Genomic DNA, 18,427 nt, shown 5'->3' with positions numbered 1-18,427 from the left:
AAATTTTTGCTTTTTGGTCCATCATGGGGGCATCAGCTGGATACAAACCAAAACGTGCTCACCTATAACCAGCTAATAATTCCTCCAAAAACACCCTTGGCTGATAGGTTTGGCTTGAGTGGTCATTGAAGACTGCTAAATTGTAGGCTTCTAATATAAGGAGGAATAGAAAAAGGTAGCAATTGCTTTAAAGGTAAAGGAGGCCATGGATATTTTTTCCTGGACAGATCATATTTTGAAGGACTAAATGATAAAGCCTTAGTAAGGATGGACTTATTCCTTCTTTTGTTCATGCCTTTTGCTTTTCCATTTGTTTTTAGTTTTTAATTTCTTATGGATCAGGTATTTATGTGTTGATTGTGGATTAATTTTTAAAATAACGCTATTCCCCTCCTTTGACCCTGAAAGATCAATTCTGTCTTTCAAACAAGACCACATCCAATTGGAATACTAAGAAATTTTTTCTGGTCATGTCGGATTCTTACGTGCAGTGTTTTTGTTTTGTGTTGTTTTATTTGAGCATGATACTAAAACTACCCTGGAAATCACTCCCTGAAAATAGAACACTCTCGGGAATTACAGGGGTTTATAATTAAAATATGTTATAAGTGGGTGGCGAAGTGGCCACATTTTGTCCTCTTAAATTTGAATTTCACTTCCATCATGAGCCCATATCATTGGGGACTTCAGTCTGTAGTTGAGAAGGAACAGGGCTGTAATGTGTGAAAACACATTTCCCTAAACTGCATTCACTAAAAGTACCACTTTCTATCACTAAAAGCAAGCTAGAACGCATAATCGTTGTCATTGGTTATGTTTCGAAACTGGCCCTATGTAAAACATGAATGAAATTGCATTTGCTTGGGAAAGGTTTTTATTGTTATGTTTAAACCCATAAATGAGATTTTTAAAAAATGTATATTACAACTAATCTAATGAATTTTTATTGAATAATTTTATTCTTTCTCTCTCTTCTCTACGGAATGTGGGTTTTTGTTTTTCTTGTTCTCCAACACAAACTGCCAGCCATGGCCTACCAGGATCTTTTCCCAAACACTGCATGTAACTTCAGATACCATGTCTATTTTCCTCAGTACCCCAGACTGACATTTCAACAAGTACTTCTCATCATAGCTTTTTCAGAAGCTCTGAAAAAGCATCTGGGGGCATACTGACATTATCAGATTTTTAGGGTGGATGATGGAAATAGGACATTTGCTTTAACCCTTCCCAACAATAAAGCAAGAAACCAACGAACTGTCTTCCTACGTCAATCAAGCCGAATTGATTCTGAAATTTATCTCTTCACAGTGTATGATGGGTGAGTGTGGCAATTCACAATCACAAATGCTGTTGGAATTCATTGCAAACCTCAATGGCTTGTGTGATCTAGGCCTAATCTGGTGGTCCAATGCCATTGGTCTTCATGTTCCAAAGGGGGATTGGCAGCCCATATGGGGTTTTCAGGGCACTGGACAGCCCTGTCTCACAGAAGAGATCTTTCTCTGTGGGATCCATGCATTCCCACAATTGTTATGATCGTTTCATAGTTCATATTCAGAGCCTTCTCATATATTTCCTACACACCGCACATGAGTTTATTAGACCTTTTCCTGAGGATAGGCGGAAGCAGAGAATATTGGGCAAGAAGGATGGAGAGCAGAGTCTTCAGGCACAGGGTCCTGGAGATTAGGGACAAACTTTGGCCCCTGACAATTTTGCATAAGTTCAGCTCTGGCACAAGTCTACCATGTTGAGGTTAGCCAATCTGAGTTAACCGAGAACACACTGGGAGAGAATTACTCGCCTTTTGTTATTTCTGAAACCTGAACTGCTTTTAGAAATAAAGGCTGGAATGTTCCATAGGAACTCGGAGCATGGGGCACGGGCATGGCACACACTCGGTTGGGCTATTTAAAAACCAGTCCCTTGGCTTCCCTCTGTGATTCTAAATACGTGAAATCACATTACCCTGCAGCAGCCGGTAACTATTTCTATAACATTGTCCAGCATCTGTGCTTGCCGTGACTGGGTCCACCCAACAAAAACAAAGTGGAGATGTGGTAATTGATTAGGTTAATCACTCCAGGCTTTCTGTGCCACAGCTAATGTCCATCTAGTGTCTACTGACACTACTCCTGGAATTTTAAGGACTGATCTATGTAACTAGATCTATGTAACTTCCTAGGGGAAGGGAGGTGCCTTAGCATATCAAAAGGATGCTTTTTAAAAGAGCTATTTATTCATTTAACAAGTGAGGACCAGAAACACAATTTATCACTTTCTCAGAGACAGCAAATTCTTATCCTATGGAAGGATCCCAGCATTAGAGACTCTGCCCCTTTCTGTGGGAAAGAATCTATCTTTTTTGGATTTGTTTGATGTGCTAACTAACACTTCCCCCAGTCACACCACTAGCCATCAATCAAACAGATAAACCCCTTAGGAATATCTAGTCAATTGCTAATCATTTGAAGACATCAGCCAGTAGAAGGGCATTAGCCAACATCATTACATAATGTCAAAACAACTGATCAAGTTTGTGAATCCAATGAAACAGTCAAACCAGTTTAGGAATTTCATATACACAAAACAATAGATGAGTGACTTTTAGCTTTTTAGCTTGATATAAAATTTTTAAACCCTACCATTTATAAATGTGTAAGCATTTGGCACACCCTATGCCAAGTGTTTTATCTACTTAAACCTTGGAAGTATGTGTTCTCACTTCCATTTTAAAGATAAGAAGACTGAGGCTTAGTGAGATATACTAATCTGCACAAGACTACATGTTTAGGTTCTATGAGTGGCAGGGTGAGGTTTAAACACTTGTCTCTCCAACGTCCACTCCATGCTGTTTGCCTCTGTGTATGTAACTTCAAACAGCCAAAATGGCCAAGTAAGGCAAGAAAATAAAAAAATAAAAAACAAACAAGTGAAAGGCCTGGGTCCTGAATCATGCAGTTAAGATAGCCAAGACTCAGCTGATCCACAATTGTCTAATTCTGCCCATATCCGTCCAGCTACAAACCAAGTCTGCGACCTGATACCTGAGTCCTGGGAGACCTCTTGACCCCCATGTGATACCGCTGTAAGGACTAGGACTCCAATTGCCAAACATTACACATCAGAACAAATTTTATGTGTTCCATTATGCCTGTGAACAGATCTGATTTCTTAGTCAAATATTATTTTTTTGAATATTTTCAGGCATAGACTGAGTATGTGGTTCCCTTGTGGCCAACTCAAAACATATAGCAGAGAGTAATCCTTTGCACTATCCTATATTAATATTTTCTTTCCCTCCTTGTAATGGAACTAGTTATAAATTAGATGAGATTAAAAAACAGTCTCTTGAGAATTAACATTTTAAGGAATTACCTAGAAAGAGCTGAGGTGTTTTTTTTCCCCACATGGTAAATCATACAGAGTAGCAGCCTGCCCCAGATCCCCGGAGACAACATCTTGAGCGCATATGTTATGCTGGGTTCTGTATTGACTAATTCAAAAACTCCAGGGCAAAAGAACCCAAGTTCCCAAGTTAAAAATGAAAGTAAAATAGTGGAATGGAATTGGGATCATTGTTGCAAGATTCCAACAACTTCATAAATAGCCATTAAAGTAGACAGCATGACAGGTTAACAGATTTACCATTGTAAGAATCAACCTGCACTGTTGGTGTGAAGTCGCAAACAAACCCATCTACCTCTCACTTTACGGATATTCTGTTTTCTCAGAAATAGAATCACATTTGACAAAATTAATATTGAGATCATTTTACTAGAAGGCTTATCCAAATATATGCCATATTAAAAATAGTCATGATATAAATATTTCTCACAAGAGCTGCAGCGATGGCGTGAATAAAAAACTCCCTTCTGAGATTTCAGTAAAACCAGATCTCACAAAGGATCTGAAAGAAAACAAAAAAGAGAAAACAAACAAACAGACACACACAAAGAGACACACACACACAGAACAAACCTTATGTTAATCCGGTTTAGCATAACAGTGACTATTTTGACACTATTTTATGAAGTACGATACTATTCCTTCCCAGATGAAGTAAGAGAAATGAATCGGCTACAGGTTTCTCATGATAATGTTCAGGGCTGGGGGTATCTAAGCATGTTCAGTAGCAGCTAAAAAAATCAAAAATTCTAAATGCAGCAAATGTTAGCACTGTCAAATGGCCAAGCATGCAAGAGGAATCTCTCTCTCCATGCCCTTCTACAAATACATGCAAAGCCCCAAATCCACCGGCTGGAATTTTTAAATCGTAAATTAGATATCAAAATGCTTACGGGCCTTACAATGAGATAACATCAGGAGGAACGGTGCGTGGAATGGATCTGGCATTCTCACATAAAGCATTATCTTTGGTACAAGTACACACGGCAGGGCATTTTGGCTTCGCTGGTTTCTTCCCCTCAGTCAGCAAAAGCGCAGATAAGAGACATAGGAAATAAGCAATTCTTTTCAGGGGAATGCAGGCATTTCCCATCCTTTTGCTTCTTTCTGATTCCATGCAGTCGAGAAAATATCCCCAACCATGAACAGGGCTTCTGGAATTCAGATGGTGATTGTCTTGCTCTAAGAACAGGTCACATAGGAGTCCACCCTTTTCCTCTGCCTCTGTATCTCTGCTTTTTCAAAACAGAGACCTGCAGCTGATTCGTGAGCTTCTCCTCGCTCCAGCAATGCACTGCTCGGGGGAAGAGACCTGTGAGGTACTGTGAGATGGGAGGGATCCAACTGCTGGAGGAGAGAGCCGACTTGCATCACCACGAAAACACTGAGCACAGACCAGCCTTCGAAGGCAAAGTGAAGTGATGTCACAGAAAATAAACAGCTTTCTGCTTTCACCGGGAGGCCCTTTAATTGTTACCAAAAATAGGACGGCATTATGTCTTATTAGTGAGTGGGTGGGCGGGTGGGTGGGAGCAGTCATCTTGCATAGGATGTCGGCAATCTCAGAAACCTCTGGGAGTCTGCTTTTCATGTAGCAAACAACCTAGTAAGAAAAACTAGCTTTGGAGCCAGCCCCGGCTGGAAAAAATGAAGCTAAATGAAACTCTCTCCACAATATTGGGCTAAAACCTTTTGATGTTTCTTGCTGAGCCTACCTGGCTAATGCCATCAGTGAAAGACAAATCAGAACAGATGAAGAATGTGACTTTCAGGGGATGAATGTGAGTACATACTTTTCTGACACTTATTAACTGTCATGAATGATTGATTTTCCTATCCCCCTGGGTCCCCCACGTAATTCATTCTCTCCTTCCATGACAAGGAAGGGAAACAGAAGTGCGGGACCCTCTCTGTGTATAATCCACCTCCCTCTCTTCTCCCACCCTCCCTTCTTTGGCAGTAGCACCAGAAGCCTGGAAGGAACTCCCTGCCAGCAGGAGGCGGCCAGCTCTAGCTTCCTGGGGCTTTGAAAAAGGCCTGGCTCAGCCCCGAGGCTGTGACATGGTGGGGGAAATGCTGGACTGAGAACCAGACACCTGGCTTTGAGAACGCAGGTCTGCTGTGAACTTGCTGAATCTATTCTCCTGTCTGTAAAACGGGGATGATAGTAAAGACATTCTGGAATTAAATGAAAATGATAGGCTATGTTACTCGTGTACTTGATGTGAGCGGATGGGCCCTTGGAAAAGAAAATTCATTTAAAGAAGCAATCAAGAGCCCCTGGCCTTGGGGTGGGATAGTTTAGTCCAAGAGAGTAGGAAGACCCTTGGGATGGAGGAAGATGAGGAAAACAGACCCCCGGTTATCTCACTATGGCGAAGGCGGCCATCCTTCAAGCTGGCACGAACAGCCTGGGATATCAGTCCACGTTCCTTTCTCCTCTAGCTTCTTAGACTGAAAGTATTAAAAGGACTGCTTGAGCAAAGGCGATTTTGACATAACCTCATTCTGCATCAGAGCTGAAAGCATTGCCATTCTACCCTTTCGCTCATGTAGCTGGCCCCATGCTAACTTCAATCCCTTGTTCAGTTCTCTGTAAACTCTTTGCGGGGGACAGTGCCATTCACGTGCATTCTCACATTTGATAACTGTCTGTTTACCCCAGAAGATTGCAAGGTCCACGAGGTTAGAGACCCCGCTAGGGAACCCAGGGCCTGTGTAGCATTGTGCATGTAGTGGGCAACCTGGATGGCTATGCCAGCAACAGCAGAGTGTACAGTCCATTCATGGTCATGCCCAGCCAAATAAACTTACAGTTGCACCTTGCAGTTCTAATAAAGAGATCTAACCTAGTCAAGGAAGTCAGGGGCCAATTCCCTGAAGTAGCAGTGATTGAGCTGAGTTCAGAGGTAAGGAGGAGTTACAGAGAGGGTTCGTGAGAACACTCCAGGTAGAGGGAACGGCATACATAAAGTCTGGCTCATGATCTGCAGAGCAATGGGACACCTCTGTAGAATCAGGCAGGGGAGTGATATTAACTGGTTTGTGTTTCAAAAGGACCAGTAGGTTATTATCACTAAGTCAGTTTTTGTGGGGTTGTAAATACTGTGTGTTGTTTTTTACGGAAGGGAAAAAGAAAAACTCTTCGTTGACAAGAAGTCATGATTTTAAAGTGTATTCTACGAATGCTTCACTGTCAAGGACTCTGTGGAGGAGGGAATGGAGGGCAGTGTTTTTAGAAACTGTGACCTCTGCGCAAGCCTCACTTTAAACAGTAAAAGTGTCACTTAAAAGTTGGCTGCAAGTCGGGTTTTTGTAAATTGAACCCTGCTTCAAGTGCCTAGTGGAAACTTGCTCCGTAAAATAATTATGTGGTAAAAGTTTTATGGAGGATTGTTTTTATTCAAAGTCACCCTCTAAATCAACTGACTTGTAAATGATGTGTTCTGTAACTACAAAATGAAGACATCGAGAAGATTCAGGGACCTCAAAGATCCTGGATTCGATCCCTGCATATTACAGATGGAGAAACCGAGGTACAGAGAGGACACACAGAGACCACCACTCTGCATGGGGTAAGCCCCATGGCAGAAACTTGGTTACAATGACTAATGTAATCCATCAGGCTAAGTCACTCCCTGTGTTTCACTTTCAAATGTTTCAAATCATGAAGATTGCTTGACTAGCTGTTGGCTTTGTGGTATGAAGACACAGCCGAAGAAAGGGTGAGCGGTCTTTTTCTTTTGACTTGGTAAAGCTAGGAAGGCAAATGAATGAGGGGAAGAAATCATATCCATACTATTCACTTTGCAGCTGTATTTATCTGGCAGTTCAGTTTGTCAGTTCAAGGGGGAAAAGGACCATTGGGGAGGGGAGGGGAGGAGAAACTCTAAGGACAAATTACAATGGGCATTCTGAAAAGACAGTAACTTTTTATTTTTCTATGGCATTTAAAACCCAGACTTGAATTCTTTATTCAATTAAAAACACCCACTAAGGTCAGACAAAATTTAACCATGTAATGCAGGATGCTGGCGGCCTTTTTGGGAGGAGAAACCACTTCCTGGCTCCAGAATTGGATCTGAGGAGAGACTCGGGGAGATGAGGGCAGTTCGCTGCATTGAAGTCTTGAGAGGCCTGAAGAGGAGGCCCCATTGCTGATAATGCTTCCCATCTTACTGCTCCAGGAAGCCCCAGGGAGCACAGAGATGATGTAGGAAGCAGGAGGTGGAAGCTTAGGGGTTTCCACCATCTTGGAGGCCTTCAGATAAGGTGTGGCCACCCACTTGTGGATCACAATAGGGACCCTGGGGAGAGGGGCTTGGAAAGGATTAAAGCAGAGTTGGAAGGAGGCCCAGGGAAGCCAGGAGGCCTAGCTGAGGCAGGCTCAATGCCCAGTCTGAGCTGTAGAGGAGTAGCTGAGCTCTGCACTTTGCCAGCCATATGACCATGGGCCGATTTACCCTTCCTAAGTCACAATTTTCTCCTCTGTAAAACGAGGATAATAATAGTATGTATCACATAGAGTTGTTGAGAAAATGAAACATGATAATGTATCTAAAAGTGCTTATTGTGCAGTCTGATACGTGTGAAAGATTTAGTATCATCTTCACCGTCATCACCATCATTCTCATCATGGTTGCAACAGGACTTGAATTCTGAACATGTGACTTCTGGGACCTGGGAAGCAAAGCTCTCAAATAAAAATGAGGTTAGCTGAAGCGTATATTCACTCTGGGAAGCAGGCACTTCTGAGCAGTATGACACACTGTGGCCTTGTCAAGGGTTCCGCCATGAGAAGGAACCAAGCTGCCTCCTGGAAAAAAAAAAAAAATCTCACCAGTTTGGGTGAGAGTAGGAGCACGCATGCTTAGCCCAAGGACAAGGTCTACAGGTGGAGAAGATTAAGGTGGTTGTGAATACAGGATGAAGACTTTTTTCAGCCTACTGCCCTTGAACACGTGTAAGTTAGAAGGGAGTAAGAGGAATCTCTTTTGGGATCCCTGTAAAAAAGTGGGACTTCTCTCTAATGTGGTGGGCACCATTGCATGGCATGCAGGTGCTATAAGGAACTATGCACAGTGGTGACACCAGAGGCTGCTGAAGAGGTGAGACAAACAATGCTCCCATCCAGGCCTGGGAGTCAGACTAAAGTCATGGAATTTTTCACCAGCAGCAGCTCAGCCTTGGTGGCCCAGCAGCAGTGACAGCCCTGCAGACATCAAAGGCACTGGGAAAGGATCCCAGCAGGGAGGCAGAGCAGAAGAGAAGGAAAATGAGGGACAAGGAATGATGTTTGGGAGCACATGTACAGTGTTCCCTGGACATCCTCAGAAAGACCAGAAGGGGGTTCTCGTCTGGGGGCTTCTGGTGGTTCTGGAAGAGCTGTTGAAAGCAGAGTGAGAAAGGAACAGCATGTGCCTGGTTATGATCCCAGTTTTCCCCTCAGGCTGGTGTGGCCTAGGAAACACACATTGTACAAGTAAACAAATCACTATTAGGAGGCTTAGAAGATCAAGCTTGGCCTTGCCTCCTTTTACAAACACTCAGACATGCAAACTGGTGTCATTTTAAGCAGCTTTCTCAACAGAGCAGGGTTTGCAAAGCTGCGTGTCAGATATGATAGTGGATCGGGACATCAATATCAATCTAGTGAGTACAAGTAGAATTTGAAAAATAAATCATTTCAAATACAAAATTGGAGCATATTGCACCAGTAAGGATAACTATTGCCTTGTGAAGCCTTTGTTTCCATTCTTTGTGTGTGTATGAAGGCACAGCTGTGATATAAATCATGCTTCTTTCAGTTTACAACCAAAAAAAAAAAAAGAAGAGAAAAGAAAAAGAAAGGGAAAAAAAAACTGCATGAGAGGATGCTAAAGATCCTTTCCCAACCCAGGAGTCCAAAATGGCAGGGAAGTGATCTTGACTCCAATAAATTTCACTTACTGGTTGAAGTTAGCAATTAGACCTGTCGGAATATTGTTTCTGTTCTTCACTGACTGTGTGAACTTAGGAAAGTTGATTAGCTTCTCTGTGCCTCATTTGCAACAAGGAAGTAAAAATAACAATACTATCTCTGCATTGTTGATATTAGGATTAGTGATGATGTACATGGAAAGAATGTTGCAAAAAAGGCACTGGACTACTGATAGTTCCACTGGAAATAAGTGGGAAGGGGATTGAGGGCCAATCTTTAAGATTATTTGGCAGTAGTGTGTCATTAGGACTCTTTGGTAGCAAGTGACAGACACTGACTCTGCCAACATAAGTGTAAAAGGACCTTGTTGCCATGGTGATTGAGTGACTCACAGAATCCAAGGAAGGGTTGACCAAGCAGGATTTAGAATGAAGGAACTTGTGAAAGCTTGGGAATCTATGTGGCAGGAGCTAATGGATGATGCCCTCTGGCAAATTCAGTCCAACCTGTTCTTATCCTTATGTTCCTCCCCAAAAGATGAGTATGGTGGACTGATCTTGGGTCAGGCACCCCTGCCCATTGCCCTGGGAAAGTGGGGCACCTTGACTGGCAATCTCACCAAGAGTGCACATGGTGGGAGAGAGGTGGTTCCACAAAAGCAAGTTGGGTACTGCTGTCAGAGCAGAGAGAACAGGCTGGGCAGGTGAAATCCAGCGATGCTCATTTGGGTAGGAGTGCTGGGCTCTGATAGCTAATATCATTGGCCCTTGCCCCTAACTCAACCTTATGGTTTTAAAGAGAAATGACCAGAAGACAATTTAGACAAATAGATATGAATACTTTCTCCAAGGACAGCTAAACTCGCATGTTCTAACTGTGGAATCAGGGGATTTTCACCTTTTATAGTCCATGAGAATAGAACTTGGGCCAAGAAAGGGGTTGAGAAGTAATAATAATGAAAGCTGACTCTTATAAAATGCGTATTATGTGCCAGCTGCCATTCTAAAGCACTTTACCCATATTAACTCACTTAATCCTCATAACAATCCCATGGGCTAGATAGATATTACTATTATTTCCCCTATATTAGCAGAAAAGGAAACAGAGGGTCAGGAGGTTAAGTCGTGTGCCCAGGGTCCTGTAGCTAGTGAAAGGTGGTGCTGGTATCGAAATTAGGTGTCCTGGCTCTGATGTCCACAGCATTAGCCACTGCTGGACACTGCCTCTCTGATGGGCTGTGTGGAATGAGGGATACCGTGAGCTGCTTCGGAGCTGGTAGCACCTCACTGGCTGGGCGCTACTATTGTACTACAATTCCCAGCATGCAACTGGGCTGGCTATCATCTTAACCCCTTCTTCACCAAAAGTTCCTCACTGTCTTGGGTAAAATCTTTTTTATTGGCAAAATCTGATCTCCCTCATGGATAATTATGCAATTGAGGCATAAATGTAGATATAAGTGGCAGCAGATAGGGGAGAGGGTAAGATTCTAAGTTAAAGTACCCTCCACATTTTTTAGTATTTGAAGGAAGACATTGGAGATTACTATGGGAAAGATTTTTTAACTTAGAAATGTGTACTATGAAAACGTCGATGGGGATGTTTTAAAGCACCCATTCTCAAAGTTGGCTACACTTTCGAATCACCTGGGGAATTAAAAAAAATACTTAAAGTTTGGGTCACATTCCTAGAGGTTCTGATTTAATTGGTCTAGGGTATGGCTGTTAAAAGCTCCCTATGAAATTCTAGAGAGTTCCCCATGGGTATAAAACAGGAGGCACAGCTTGTCATGCAGTGGGGGCATATGGGGAAGCATCAGGGCTGGTCAGGGGCCCGAGGGAGCAAGGGGAAAATGCAGACAAGAGCCTTTATTGTGATTTCTGCAGGAATGGTAATGCAAGACAGGGTAAACAGGCTCAGGATTGGCTCCTTTGAATAAGTTCAGTGAACTTTGGGGCACAGGGACTGTCCCTAGTTGTCTGTTACTGGCCCTGGGGTGATTAGAGTAGGTGGATGGTGGCCCCGAGAGACGGCCCAATAAAGGAAGTGATTGGGGGTATGGATACTGGATCGGTTGGTTTGCATAGGAAAGGTGCGCCCTCCCACGTGAGTCATTTACTGTTTCTCGGAATTGGCTAACCCTGGGAGTGGCAGTCCCTCCAGGGTCATCAGCACAGCCCCAGGTGTCAAAGCATCAGGATACAGAAAATTTAAAAACATGTTGAATGTATCCTTCCACTCTTCAGCAGAAAGCAGCTGACCGGGCTTAAAGAGAACTGGGAAGAGCTTGAAGCCTGGGGAACCATCCCATTAGGAATGGTGGTCTGCAGGGAAGGAAGCAGGAGGGCTAGTGAAACAAGGAGAATTTCAGCCATGGCTCTATTTAGTTTATCAAGATTCCAAACCTGTCACGGAATGACACCCAAGCGAATGGGAAGAAAGGCGGCAAGTTCTGCCTTTAAAAGCCTCCTTGTAGAGACCTCCGCACTCCCATGTTTACTGCAGCACTATTCGCAATAATCAAGATATGGAATCAAGTTAGATGTCCAACAACAGATGAATAGATAGAGAAAATGTAGCATATACACACCATGGAATACTATTTAGCCATTAAAAAACAGTGAAATCCTGCCATTCATGGCAACATGGATGTTGGAACTGGAGGACGTTATGTTAACGGAAATAAGCCAAAAACAGAGAGTTAAACACCACATGTTCTCATTCATACGTGGAAGCTTAAAAAAGTTGATCTCATAGGAGTAAAAAGTAGAACAGAGGATACTAGAGGCTGGGAAGGGTAGGGGGAGGTGGAGGGCATACAGAAAGTTTTGTTAAAGGACATAAAATTACAACTAGATAGGAGGAATAAGTTCTAGCGTTCTATACCACTGTAGAATGACAATAGTTAACAATAATAGAGTTTCAAATAGCTAGAAAGAGGATATTGAATGTTCCCAACACAAAGAAATGATAAATATCTGAGATGATGGATATGCTGATTACCCTGATGTATCAAAACATCGCTATGTGCCCCATGCATATGTACACTTATTATTTGTCAATTAAAAAATAAATATTTAAGAAAGCCTCCTTGAAGGCAGTACCCACAATTTATTTATCTTTTTATGCCCTTGATTAAATGATCATTACCTAGCAGAAACAGTTAAAATGGTCTTATAAAAGAGAAAAGTTAGTTTAGAGATGTGGGCTGGTACTTTGCTCTTAAAAAATAGAGTTTTTCTTAATTTTTATTACCAAAGTTAAGTATGCTGAATTTATACATTTCTATACCTGCCTTTAAACTCAAGCAGAACCTGAATTAACCATTGATTGGAGTTTATTGCTTATGTCCCCAAGGGAAGCGCCTCCTCTGGCTCATGCTGGTGGGAGAAAATGAACCAGCCCTGCTTTCTCTCCCTGGTTCAATTCCCAGCAAAGGAAAAACAATGTAATTCATGATGATGATGACAATGACAATGACGACAACAACAATAACCAACCTTTAACACATCCTTATAATGTGCCAGACCCTGCGGTAGGTGCATTAGAATAATTACCTCATTTAATTATTGTAACATAGTTTGGTTAATTTGCCCCCATTTTTCATATGAGCAAACTGAGGCATGGAGAGGCTAGGCAGCTTGCCCAAGAATAAGAGGCTGTGCTGGCTTGAAAGTGAGGCATTCAGACATTAGTGTCACATGCTCTTAATCGCTCCACAGCACCATCTCCTTGGATCGGAGTGATTTCCTGGAGCAAAGGTAATCTGATCTTATTCACACAGGAGCAGGCAATAACTGCCTGAGTACAGAACTCCTATGAGGCGATTGGTGTTGGAACCCTGAGTAGTCTAGTTACATAACCAGCATAACCCTTGGAAAAGCTGTCGCATAAGGGAAGGCTGCCTCTGGGACTAGAAGAAAGACTATGCCAAGATCTGGTTCTGCAATAGATGAGCTGTTTGACCTTGGGCTCAACGCTTCACATTTAGGCTCTGATTTTCAAAGGAAGTTCTTGGGCTGGGTAATCTCTGGAGATCCTGTCATGTAAGCAGCCCCTGCCAGCACTCCTACTGGGGAGTGATTACCATAAAGACAAGGAAAGTGTTAAGCAGGTTCTTGCACCTCCCAAAGTAAGTAGCAAATAGCTGTTTGGGTGTCCTGAGGAGTTCTGAAAACACTGGGCCTAGTTGCCTCCTGCTTCATCTTGCACCATATGCCTGAAGCTAGTGAATGAATAAACATCACTCGTGGCTATTTCTGGATGCTCAAGAAACTTTGAAAAAAAAAAAAGAATTATTATTTTTGAGGAGAGTATTATAGAAGACCCAGGGGAAGACAGGGTAGGGAGGAGAGTGAGGATTCTCTTTGTTGTGATCCTAGAATTCCCATTAGGTGGACTGGAAATGCTAGACTTACCATTGTTGGACTGGAAATGCTAACATCCTGAAACTCTTAGGACCTCTGCATGAAGAATTGTCCTGCCCCAAATGCTCTTAGCACCCCCACTGAGAAGGAGTAAAAGAGTTTCTCACAGTGGAAACACTGCGAACCTCTTTATGCATTTTTCTGAACATCAGTCAATAATCCATTAACTCGGGGAAGCTGAATGCTCTTCATACAGGAATCCAAAATAAATTGACAGATATCCTCTGGGAAGAACTGTAGAAAGGCTCTGTGGGCTTGAACAAGGCATTTCATTTCCTTGGGCCTCAGTTTCTTTATCTTTATAGCACTAACATTCTATAGCTTCCTAATTTCTCTCCCCAGAAAGGAGAAATAATTTTTAAACACAGAGGCTTAGAAAGAGTTTGTTTTCCAATTCGGGGCATGCTAGGTACATGTACTGCAGTTAACCAAAATGCACATGGTAAAGTTTAAGCCAAAAGAATGCAGAATCAGGCCGGGCATGGTGGCTCATGCCTGTAATCCCAGCACTTTGGGAGGCTGAGGTAGGCGGATCACAAGGTCAGGAGATCGAGACCATCCTGGCTAACACAGTGAAACCCCGTCTCTACTAAAAATACAAAAAATTAGCTGGGCATGGTGGCGGGTGCCTGTAGTTCCAGCTACTCAGGAGGCTGAGGCAGGAAAATGGCGTGAACCCGGGAGGCGGAGGTTGCAGTAAGCTGAGATCGTGCCACTGCACTCCAGCCTGGGCCAGAGAGCGAGACTCCATCTCAAAAAAAAAAAAAAAAAAGAAAAAAAAAAGAATGCAGAATAAAATTATCCCAGAATATTTTTAATAAGGTATGATCTTAATGACTTAGCATTTTTTTCTGGAAATATATTTGAATTTTATCAGAACTAAGCACCAAAAATTTAGGCAAGGTCATGGAAGGCCACCCTTTTTACTGGCTAGACTTGAATAGAAATCTACTCAAGAAAAGAAGTTTGTTAGGGAATTAAAAAAAAAGGATAATTCTAAGTCATGGGCAAGGTGGAAATAATCTAGCCAGAAAATATATTTGGGGGTGGTACTAAGGAAAAGCAGTGGCTCTAAGAGGTATTGCCCTAGAGCGGGGCATGGTTATTGGAATATAAAGTTGAAAATATGATTACTCTTCTATCTTCCTCTTCTTCTTTATGGCTGAATCACTCCCAAGATAGTTCTTAGCAGGTTTTTATTTATTTATTTATTTATTTATTTTTATTTTTGAGACAGAGTCTCACTGTGTCACCGAGGCTGGAGTGCAGTGGTGTGATTTCAACTCACTGCAACCTCCGCCTCCTGGGTTCAAGCGATTCTCCTGCCTTAGCCTCCCGAGTAGCTAGGACTACAGGCCTCCACCACCATGCCTGGCTAATATATATATTATATATATATATAGTATTTTTAGTAGAGACGGGGTTTCACTATGTTGGCCAGGCTGGTCTGCAGTTCCTTTTTTTTTTTTTTTAAAGATACTTCTTCATTCTTTCGAGGAAGTTATTAACTGCTTTTGTTTTGTTTTAGTTTTTTGGTTTAAGATTCTGAAGTTAAGAGGAAAATCATGCAACTAATCTGTTCATGCTTTGGAAACTTGAACTTCATGATGTTGGATTTCAGCCTTTTTGCTTTTGTCTTATCCCTTTAGAAGGGATCTGTTTTGTTTTGTTTGGCTTTATACTGTCGTTCTGGAAGAACTCAGAGCTTTCCATTGCTGCCCGTGACTTATGGCCTGTGTTACACCCATTGGTTTCTGTAGGAATGATGACCCAAGAAGCTGGGAATGTGACCGCAGAAAATAGCAAAGCAATGAGGAAACTGGTTATGACCATAGGATTAGTGCCCTGAGGGTCCAGGGCAGAAATGGGTGTTAACAGCAGAGAAGCACAAGGCTTCTGCACCAGCCTACTGCTGGCTCACATTCAACACTGCCCCTATTGCTCCCAGCAGTGCAGCAAAGAAGACAAAGGAACCCATGCTTGCTGGGCCCCCTGCAGGCCAGGTGCTTCCCATACATTGTCTCTGTTGATCATTTCACCTGCCGTGTGAGCAAGGCATTATCCCCACTGAAGCTTACAGAGGTTAGACTCGTCCAAGACAATATATTTTGGCTTCAAACTGACTTCTGTCTGTTTCCAAAAATATTTTTCATGTGACTTATTTTTGATGTATATAAACTTATAGACAGTTCTTGAATTCTTGTCTATGTGAAGCACATATTGTGTGAAGTATTTGCATGGGGCCAGGCGCGGTGGCTCACACTTGTAATCCAGCACTTTGAGAGGCTGAGGTGAGCGGATCACCTGAGGTCAGGAGTTCGAGACCAGCCTGGCCAACATGACAAAACCCCGTCTCTACTGAAAATACAAAAATTAGCCAGGTGTGGTGGCAGGCGCCTGTTATCCCAGCTACTCAGGAGGCCGAGGCAGGAGAATCACTTGAAACCGGGAGGCAGAGGCTGCAGTGAGTCGAGATTGCATTACTGCACTCCAGACTGGGTGACAGAGAGAGACTCTGTCAAAAAAAAAAAAAAAAAAAGTCTGCATGGTATTGTTTGCTTATATGATGTTTAGAACAAGGAAACGACTGAGGCTGACCATGCTCTGGCTCTGGAGGCTCTCTGGGGATACCTGGAGGAGTCTTTGGGTCACACCAAAACACTAGGATGCAGCCTAATGTGAAGATTACAACTCAAGTCTTGGCTTTGCTATTTAGCAGCTGAGTGACCTTGGGCAAGTTTTCATTGTCTCTCAGCCTCAGTTTCCTCATATATAGCATGGAAATAATACTAGTGTTTCTCTTACAGGATCACTGTGAAAAGAACATGAGATGCCCTTTGCAGGGACATGGATGGAGCTGGAAGCCATTATCTTCAGCAAACTAACACAGGAACAGAAAACCAAATACTGCATGTTCTCACTTATAAGTGGGAGCTGAACCATGAGAACATGGACACAGGGAGGGGAACAACGCACACTGGGGCCTGTGGAGGGCAGGCGGGGGGAGGGAGAGCATCAGGATAAATAGCTAATGCATGCTGGGCTTAATACCTAGGTGATGGATTGATAGGTGCAGCAAACCACCATGGCACACATTTACCTATGGAGCAAACCTGCACCTCCTGCACATTTACCCCAGAACTTAAAATAAAATAAAATTTAAAAAGGACACGAGATAATGTAAGAAAGTAGTTAGCCCATAGAAAGCTGTTACTATTCCAGTATGTATCCTACTACCCACGGTGCCGCTTATATAAGAGCGCCCTCCTGAGGCTGTCAGAATAACTGGGGCGAGGCAGGGAATGAGAGGGGACACCAGGCCTGAGGAGTGAGGAGAACAGACTAGAATGGCTTCCTGACCGAAACTACACCCGCTCAACCCCAGGCCTGTGTAATAGGCACTTCCACTTTAGTGTGAGGGTAAATCCCAGAACACTGAAGAAACACAGCCCAGAGCTGGCATCCTTTTGGCCATTTCCTGAAGTGGAGCTGGATTTCAGAGGGCTGTCTCAAATGACAGTGTCAGCACTAGGAGCTGATGGTTAAAGCTCTGCAAGAAAACAGCATCCAGCATTTTCTTTTGCTACTCTCATGGGCCAACATGAAAGTGCGTAATGATGGACACAGGCTTTGCTTAAGTGGTGAGTCTATCATCCAACCTTTGACTATAATTATGTTGCTCAGATTAGAGCTAAGTAAACACTGGATTTGTTTTTTTTTTTTTTTTACTACGAGCAAATGAATTTTATTTCTTACTCAGCATAGTTGTCCCAGTTTGTTTATTCAACAAACGTTTAAGCGTGTTCTCCATGCGTGGTGCTTGTGGCACTGGGCATTCAGTAGAAAGCTAGAGGCCAGGCGTGGTGGCTCACGCCTATAATCCCAGCACTTTGGGAGGCCGAGGCAGGTGGATCGATCACCTGAAGTCGGAGTTCAAGACCAGCCTGGCCGATATCGTAAAACCCCGTCTCTACTAAAAATACAAAAATTAGCTGGGCATGGTGGCACATGCTTGCAATCCCAGCTACTTGAGAGGCTGAGGCAGGAGAATCGCTTGAACCTGGGAGGCCCAGGTTGCAGTGAGCTGAGATCGCGCCATTGCACTCCAGCCTGGGAAACAAGAGCAAGACTGTCTCAAAACAAAACAAACAAAACAAAACAAAACAAAACAATAAAAAAGAAAGCTAAACCCACAGAGTTCCTGCCTTCTAGTGGAGGAGATGAGCAATTAAACAAGAGAAAACAAGTGCGGTGAGGGTGATGTGCAGGCTGGCGGAGCAGCAACAACAGCACAGAATCCTGACTACGGTTTGAACTAAACCTAAAGGGCCCCGACTCTGCCTTGATCTCTCCAGAAAGCCTCCCAGGGCCCTGACTTCCCTGTGCATGTCAGGTGACCACGGTGGTGGGCAGCTTCCCACCTCAGCCTCTTCCCTCAGTGAGATCTGGGAAACCTCCTCCCTCCTTTGCCTCTGAATTCTCACAAAGAGGACCAAGGGTTTTGAGGCATAGTTTTTAGGAAGAAAACAGGGAACAAGGAGAATAATAATAAAGAAGAAAAAAAGTACAAGAAGTAAAAGGTATCTTGCCTTACTGGGCCTTGGTTAGGTGCTGAACATTGTGCTAAGAATCTTTCGATGTATATTACAATGTGTTGTTCATTTCTCTG

The 18,427-nt window shown here is 43.0% G+C and overlaps 1 protein-coding gene and 1 long non-coding RNA gene across 7 annotated transcripts in view, besides 2 other annotated features; one reads left to right on the top strand and one right to left on the bottom strand.

The window, feature by feature from the left end:
- Positions 1–4,737, bottom strand: part of LGI1 (leucine rich glioma inactivated 1) — a 40,224-nt gene extending 35,487 nt beyond the window's left edge. For 5 of the 6 annotated variants that reach the window (XM_017016911.3, NM_005097.4, NM_001308275.2 and 2 more), the window contains exons 1-2: positions 4,314–4,737; positions 3,842–3,913 (exon numbers count right to left, since the gene is read on the bottom strand). In XM_017016911.3, the coding sequence (XP_016872400.1) occupies positions 3,842–3,913; positions 4,314–4,528 (287 nt within the window). In that variant the 5' untranslated portion in view covers positions 4,529–4,737. Of the gene's footprint in view, positions 1–3,841; positions 3,914–4,304 lie in introns of all 6 variants that reach the window. The other variant, NR_131777.2, reaches the window with a different exon arrangement.
- On the top strand, positions 4,956–16,927 carry LOC101927013 (uncharacterized). The gene is made up of 3 exons (XR_246160.5): positions 4,956–5,192; positions 12,689–12,866; positions 16,566–16,927. It is a non-coding gene; the product is annotated as an uncharacterized LOC101927013 (long non-coding RNA).
- Positions 12,589–13,571: an enhancer, noted in NCBI's record as "OCT4-NANOG-H3K27ac hESC enhancer chr10:95508859-95509841 (GRCh37/hg19 assembly coordinates)". NCBI's record gives its function as "activates a minimal SCP1, AML or CMV promoter by ChIP-STARR-seq in naive and primed H9 embryonic stem cells {active_cell/tissue: H9 hESC(naive and primed)}" and the evidence as "EXISTENCE:reporter gene assay evidence [ECO:0000049][PMID:30033119]".
- Positions 15,918–16,669: an enhancer, noted in NCBI's record as "NANOG-H3K27ac-H3K4me1 hESC enhancer chr10:95505761-95506512 (GRCh37/hg19 assembly coordinates)". NCBI's record gives its function as "activates a minimal SCP1, AML or CMV promoter by ChIP-STARR-seq in naive H9 embryonic stem cells {active_cell/tissue: H9 hESC(naive)}" and the evidence as "EXISTENCE:reporter gene assay evidence [ECO:0000049][PMID:30033119]".
- Positions 16,928–18,427: the final 1,500 nt, after the last annotated feature.

This window comes from Homo sapiens, chromosome 10, assembly GCF_000001405.40.
Source record: "Homo sapiens chromosome 10, GRCh38.p14 Primary Assembly".
Lineage (NCBI taxonomy): Eukaryota > Metazoa > Chordata > Mammalia > Primates > Hominidae > Homo > Homo sapiens.
The sequence above is the reverse complement of the archived record's forward strand: the minus strand, read 5'-3'. Positions and strand labels throughout refer to the sequence as shown.